This window comes from Homo sapiens, chromosome 8 (genome assembly GCF_000001405.40).
Source record: "Homo sapiens chromosome 8, GRCh38.p14 Primary Assembly".
NCBI lineage: Eukaryota > Metazoa > Chordata > Mammalia > Primates > Hominidae > Homo > Homo sapiens.
In genome coordinates this window covers 110,250,921-110,258,284 of record NC_000008.11, presented here as the reverse complement: position 1 = coordinate 110,258,284, position 7,364 = coordinate 110,250,921, and the positions used below count along the sequence as shown (strand labels likewise).

General features: G+C 40.0%; 1 annotated feature.

Moving 5' to 3' along the window:
* Positions 244 to 745: an enhancer, noted in NCBI's record as "H3K27ac hESC enhancer chr8:111269769-111270270 (GRCh37/hg19 assembly coordinates)". NCBI's record gives its function as "activates a minimal SCP1, AML or CMV promoter by ChIP-STARR-seq in naive H9 embryonic stem cells {active_cell/tissue: H9 hESC(naive)}" and the evidence as "EXISTENCE:reporter gene assay evidence [ECO:0000049][PMID:30033119]".

Below are 7,364 nucleotides of genomic sequence, written 5' to 3'. Positions count from 1 at the left end.
TTTCCAACTGAGGTACCCAGCTCGTCTCATTGGTACTGGTTAGACAGTGGGTGTAGCCTATTGAGGGCAAGCAGAAGCAGGGTGGGGCATTGCCTCACCTGGGAATCATGAGGCATGGGGGAACTCCCTCCTCTAGCCAAGGGAAGCCATGAGGGACTGTGTCGTGGGGAACGGTGCATTCTGGCCCAGATACTACGCTTTTCTCATGGTCCTCACAACTCGCAGGCCAGGAAATTCCCTCTGGTGCCTACACCACCAGGGACTTGGGTTTCAAGCATAAAACTAGGCAGCTGTTTAGGCAGACACTGAGCTAGCTGCAGGAGTTTTTTTGTTTTGTTTCGTTTTGTTTTGATTTTCCATATCCCAGTGGTGCCTGTAATGCCAGTGAGGCAGAACCATTCACTCCCCTGGAAAGGGGACTGAAGCCAGGGAGCCAAGTGGTCTTGCTGAGCGGATCCCACCCCCATGAAGTCCAGCAAGCTAAGATCCACTGGCTTGAAATTCTCGCTGCCAGCACAGCAGTCTGAAGTCGACCTGGGATGCTCCAGCTTGGTTGGGGGAGGGGCGTCCACCATTACTGAGGCTTGAGAAGGCGGTTTTCCCCTCAGTGTAAACAAAACTGCCAGGAAGTTTGAACTGGGCAGAGCCTACTGCAGCTCAGCAAAACCGCTGTAGCCAGACTGCCTCTCTAGATTCCTCCTCTCTGGGCAGGACATCTCTGAAAGAAAGGCAGCAGCCCCAGTCAGGGGCTTACAGATAAAACTCCTATCTCATTGGTGTTGCGGGAAGTCAGGGACGCCAAATGGAGGGACCGGCTGAAGCCATGGCAGAAGAACGTGGATTGTGAAGATTTTGTGGACATTTATTAGTTCCCCAAATTAATATTTTTATAATTTCTTATGCCTGCCTTTACTGCAATCTCTAAACATAAATTGTGAAGATTTCATGGACACTTATCACTTCCCCAATCAATACCCTTGTGATTTCCTATGCCTGTCTTTACTTTAATCTCTTAATCCTGTCAGCTGAGGAGGATGTATGTCGCCTCAGGACTAAGTGATAATTGCGTTAACTGCACAAATTGTACAGCATGTGTGTTTGAGCAATATGAAATCTGGGCACCTTGAAAAAAGAACAGGATAACAGCAATTGTTCAGGGAATAAGAGAGATAACCTTAAACTCTCACTCTGGTGAGCCGGGCGGAACAGAGCCATATTTCTCTTCTTTCAAAAGCAAATGGGAGAAATATCGCTGAATTCCTTTTCTCAGCAAGGAACATCCCTGAGAAAGAGAATGCACGCCTGGGGGTGGGTCTCTGAACTGGCCCCCCCTGGGCGTGGCCGTCTCTCATGGTCGAGGCTGTAGGGGTGAAATAGACCCCAGTCTCCCACAGCGCTCCCAGGCTTATTAGGAAGAGGAAATTCCCACCTAATAAATTTTGGTCAGACCTGTTGATCTCAAAACCCTGTCTCCTGATAAGATGTTATCAATGACAATGGTGCCCAAAACTTCATTAGCAATTTTAATTTTGCCTCGGTCCTGTGGTCCTGTGATCTCACCCTGCCTCCACTTGCCTTGTGATATTCTATTACCTTGTAAAGTACTTGATGTCTGTGCCACACCTATTCGCACACTCCCTCCCCTTTTGAAAATCCCTAATAAAAACTTGCTGGTTTTTGCGGCTTGTGGGGCATCACGGAACCTACTGACACATGATGTCTCCCCCAGATGCCCAGCTTTAAAATTTCTCTCTTTTGTACTCTGTCCCTTTATTTCTCAAGTCGGCTGACGCTTAAGGAAAATAGAAAAGAACCTATGTGAATATCGGGGCAGGTTCCCCAGTAATTGGGACAGAGCACCTTGGGGAAGGGGCAGCTGTGGCCACAGCTTCAGCAGACTTAAACATTCCTGCCTGCCAGCTCTAAAGAGAGCAGCAGATCTCCCAGCACAGTGCTCAAGCTCTGCTAAGAGACATTCTGCCTTCTCAAGTGGGTCCCTGACCCCCATGCCTCCTGACTGGGAGACACTTCCCAGCAGGGTTCGACAGACACGTCATACAGGAGAGCTCCAGCTGGCATCTGGCGGGTGCCTCTCTGGGAAGAATCTTCCAGAGGAAGGAACAGGCCACCATCTTTGCTGTTCTGCAGGCTCCGCTGGTGATACCCAGGCAAACAGGATCTGGAGTGGACCTCCAGCAATCTCCAGCAGACCTGCAGTAGAGGGGTCTGATTATTAGAAGGAAAACTAACAAACAGAAAGGAATAGCATCAATATCAACAAAAAGGACATCCACAGAAAAACCCTATCCGAAGCTCACCATCAAAGACCAAGGTAGATAAATCCACGAAGATGAGAAAAAAAACAGAGCAAAAAGGCTGAAAATTCCAAAAACCAGAACACCTCCTCACCTCCAAAGGACCACAACTCCTCGCCAACAAGGGAACAAAACTGGACAGAGAGTGAGTTTGACAAATTGGCAGAAGTAGGCTTCAGAAGCTGGGTAATAACAAACTCCACTGAGCTAAAGGAGCATGCTCTAACTCAATGCAAGGAAGCTAAGAACCTTGATAAGAGGTTAGAGGAATTGCTAACTAGAATAAGCAGTTTAGAAAATAACCTAAATGGCCTGATGGAGCTGAAAAACACAGCACACGAACTTTGTGAAGCATATACAAGTATCAATAGCTGAATCGATCAAGTGGAAGAAAGGATATCAGAGATTGAAGATCAACTTAATGAACTAAAGCATGAAAACAAGATTAGAGAAAAAAGAATGAAAAAGAACGAACAAAGCCTTCAAGAAATATGAAACTATGTGAAAATACCAAAGCTACATTTGATTGGTGTACCTGAAAGAGACAGGGAGAATGGAACCAAGTTGGAAAACACTCTTCAGGATATTATCCAGGAGAACTTCCCAAACCTAGCAAGGCAGGCCAACATTCAAATTCAGGAAATACAGAGAACACCATAAAGGCACCCATTGAGAAGAGCAACCCCAAGACACATAATTGTCAGATTCACCAAGGTTGAAATGAAGGAAAAAAATGTTAAGGGCAGCCAGAGAGAAAGGTAGGGTTACCCACAAAGGGAAGCCCATCAGACTAACAGTGGATCTCTCTGCAGAAACCCTACAAGCCAGAAAAGAGTGGGGGCCAATATTCAACATTCTTAAGGAAAAAAGTTTTCAATCCAGAATTTCATATCCAGCCAAACTAAGCTTTATAAGCAGAGAAATAAAATCCTTTATAGACAAGCAAACAATGAGAGATTTTGTTACCACCAGGCCTGCCTTACAAGAGCTCTTGAAGGAAGCACTAAATATGGAAAGGAAAAACCAGTACCAGCCACTGCAAAAACATACCAAATTGTAAAGACCATAGACACTGTGAAGAAACTGCATAAACTAACGGACAAAATAACCATCTAGCATCATAATGTTAGGATCAAATTCACACATAAAAATATTAACCTTAAATGTAAATGGGCTAAATGCCCCAATTAAAATACACAGACTGGCAAATTGGATAAAGAGTCGAGACCCATTGGTGTGCTGTATTCAGGAGACCCATCTCACATGCAAAGACACATATAGGCTCAAAATAAAGGGATGGAGAAGATTTACCAAGGAAATGGAAAGAAATAAAAAAAGCAGGGGTGGCAATCCTAGTCTCTCAGAATTAGAAAAAAACTACTTTAAATTTCATTTGCAACCAAAAAAGAGCCTACATAGGCAGAAAAATCCTAAGCAAAAAGAACAAAGCTGGAAGCATCACGCTACCTGACTTCAAACTATACTATAAGGCTACAGTAATCAAAACAGCATGGTACTGGTACCAAAACAGATATATAAACCAATGGAACAGAAGAGAGGCCTCAGAAATAACACCACACATCTACAACCATCTGATCTTGACAAACCTGACGAAAACAAGGGATGGGGAAAGGATTCCCTGTTTAATAAATGGTGTTGGTAAAACTGTCTAGCCATATGCAGAAAACTGAAACTGGATCCCTTCCATACATCTTATACAAAAATTAACTCAAGACTTCAACCTAAGACATAAAACCATAAAAACCCTAGAAGAAAACCTAGGCAATACCATTAGGGACATAGGGATGGGCAAAACTTCATGACTAAAACACCAAAAGCAACGGCAACAAAAGCCAAAATTGACAAATGGGATCTAATTAAACTAAAGAGCTTCTTCACAGCAAAAGAAACTATCATCAGAGTGAACAGGCAACCTACAGAATGGGAGAAAATTTTTTCAATCTTCCATCTGACAAAGAGCTAATATCCAAAAAATACAAGGAACTTAAATTTATAAGGCAAAAACAACCCCATCAAGAAGTAGGGGAAGCAGATGAACAGACACTTCTCAAAAGAAGACATTTATGCAGCCAACAAACATATGAAGAAAAGCTCATCATCACTGTTCATTAGACAGATGTAAATCAAAACCACAATGAGATACCATCTCATGCCAGTTGGAATAGCAATCATTAAAAAGTCAGGAAACAACAGATGCTGGAGAGGATGTGGAGAAATAGGAACACTTTTACACTGTTGGTGGGAGTGTTAGTTAGTTCAACCATTGTGGAAGACAGTGTGGTGATTCATCAAGGATCTAGACCCAGAAATACCATTTGACCCAGCAATCCCATTACTGAGTATATACCCAAAGGATTATAAATCATTCTACTATAAAGACACATGCACATGTATGTTTATTGTGGCACTATTCACAATCGCAAAGACTTGGAAACAACCCAAATGTCCATCAATGACAGACTTGATTAAGAAAATGTGGCACATATACACCATGGAATACTATGCAGCCATAAAAAAAGGATGAGTTCATGTCCTCTGCAGGGACATGGATGAAGCTGGAAACCATCATTCTCAGCAAACTAACACAGGAACAGAAAACCAAACACCACATGTTCTCACTCATAGGTGGAAGTTGAACAATAAGAACACATGGACACAGGGAGGAGAACATCACACATAGGGACCTGTCAGGGGGTGGGGGTCTAGGGGAGGGATAGCATTAGGAGAAATACCTAATGTAGATGATGGGTTGATGAGTGCAGCAAACCACCATGGCATGTGTATACCTATGTAACAAACCTGCACATTCTGCACATGTATTCCAGAACTTATAGTATAATAAAAAATAATAATAGTAAAAATAATAATAACTTACCAAAAATATCCTAATAAGAATATTTTCTAGATTCTGGAACAACCATGAAACTCTTAAGTATACAAAGAAACACTAATTATTCTGCTTCTATTGAATTTAATGTTCAGATAATCAAATTAAAAAGAGGATTTTAAGTTTTTCTTTAATATGCACATTATTTCTTAATTTTTAGAAAAATTACTTTTGAATTAGATTTTATTAGAATTATTATGTCTATCAACATATAAAACTCAATTTGTGGGTCAATAATATTCCAAAGCATAATACAATTTTAATTATCAGTCTTCTCTTTTTCTCCCAAATGCATCCCAGTCTGCATGACAAATTATATTGTTCTTCTACACACCCACCTAGTTCTGTCATATCTCTTAGTTACCTTCTTAGCAATATTCTCTATGTGAATCTCCTTTTTCCTTTGTCCATCTGACAAACCCCCATTCATCCTTTACGTTTCAAGTCACCTCTGAGCAACTAAGTGATGACTAATTTCTAAATCAGTAACTGAGTGTCCATAACACCTCGGTATATCTGAATTTAATATTTATTATTCTGAGCAGTTGTCATGCATTTAATTTCATGACTTGTTGGTGGGTGGTACCTTGTGGGAAAGCTGTGAGGAGGAATCTTGTCTTATTCGTTTTCTCCTTTTGTCACTTTATGTACTGCCTGACAATGGTTAATTACTCAGCAGATACTTGTTTAGTAAATACATTTAAGTCCTATATAATAAATAATATCAGAATATTTCATTTACTTCAATATTATGAAATAAAGCATATAATTTAATGTGATTTATTTTAATATACTCAAAGGAAAATAAAACGCAGTTACCTAATGACAAGTTATATTTATAACCTATGTTATAATGCTTTTGTGAGGGTTGTTGTTATGGAAAGCATAATTCTGTATTTTGTAGGTCAGTAGCATCATACACACGCACAGGTAATATGATCTCTTATATTGCACAGGTATATAATACTCTATTATATAAAAATACGAGTCTGTGGTGTAAAACAAGTAAATCTTGCTGGGATATTTCATTAGTGAACTTTGAAAATCCATGAGCAAATAGAAAACCCCAGGCCTTATATTTACATAATTTTCATTTCAAGAAAAATCTATGCACTATTAAGCACCCAGAATTGTTCAAGGCTTGGAAATATTCCATTAAAATACAAGTAATTTTGTTGTTGGTATTGTGATTTTATCCCCCTTTCACCAAGTGCATAGTAGCTTTATGGTTAAGAAGGATCCAAAACTACTCTCGGCTTAAAGGGCATCCCAGCTGTTGAGTTCTTTTTTTTTATTCTTCTTGCTGCCATGATTAGTTTAAAAATGTCAGTGAGCAAACTTTATCCAGTGCTGAATCCCTTTATGTATGTGAATGCTGTGTTGTATGGATGTGAAGTCCGGAACTGCTCATTACACTTGGATGCCATGGAGGAAGTCAATGTAGCCTATGCATAAAAAAGGAAAGAAAAAAAATTGAATCAGAGCCCTCATTAAACTATGCCTGAAGCCTGATATCTCTATGACATTTTCAGTCTTACTATTGTAAAAAAAAAAAAATTTCTTTGCTGGAACAGAAATGATCTCAATTGATTCGTACATAGTATTATTAAGAATTCCTTTGTGAGTTCTCCAATCTGAAATGGCAGTTACTCTAATACCCAAGACTTGAATTACATGTGACTGACCTGGTGGAAGCCATGTTACCCAGAAGTGAGGGAATCGTGAGGATTACCTACTTTTCAGCAAGAAGAGCTCATTAGCCCACAGCTAATATACCATGCATTTGATTAAACGGCTGTGAGAGGAACCATATATGTCCAGTAAGTAGAAATGTTCTCCTTGGGAATCATCAATGCTAGCAATAATTAACACCATACTATAAAATAAAAAGAAAGAATGAAGTCCATGCACCCTCATGTACCTCCCATTCTCTTTTAATTCTCAGTCCAGATCATAGAATGGAAATAAAAAGTTCAAATAATCTGAAGGTTTGTCAACAGGCATATTGAAGGGAGTGTGGTATAAAAGAAGACAGGAAAATTAATTACTATTAAACAAGGTTAAATGCCATACATTTTGAAAAAGGATCAGATTATATGAGATCTGATTGTTTTAGATTAAATGTACTATGCTTTTTACCT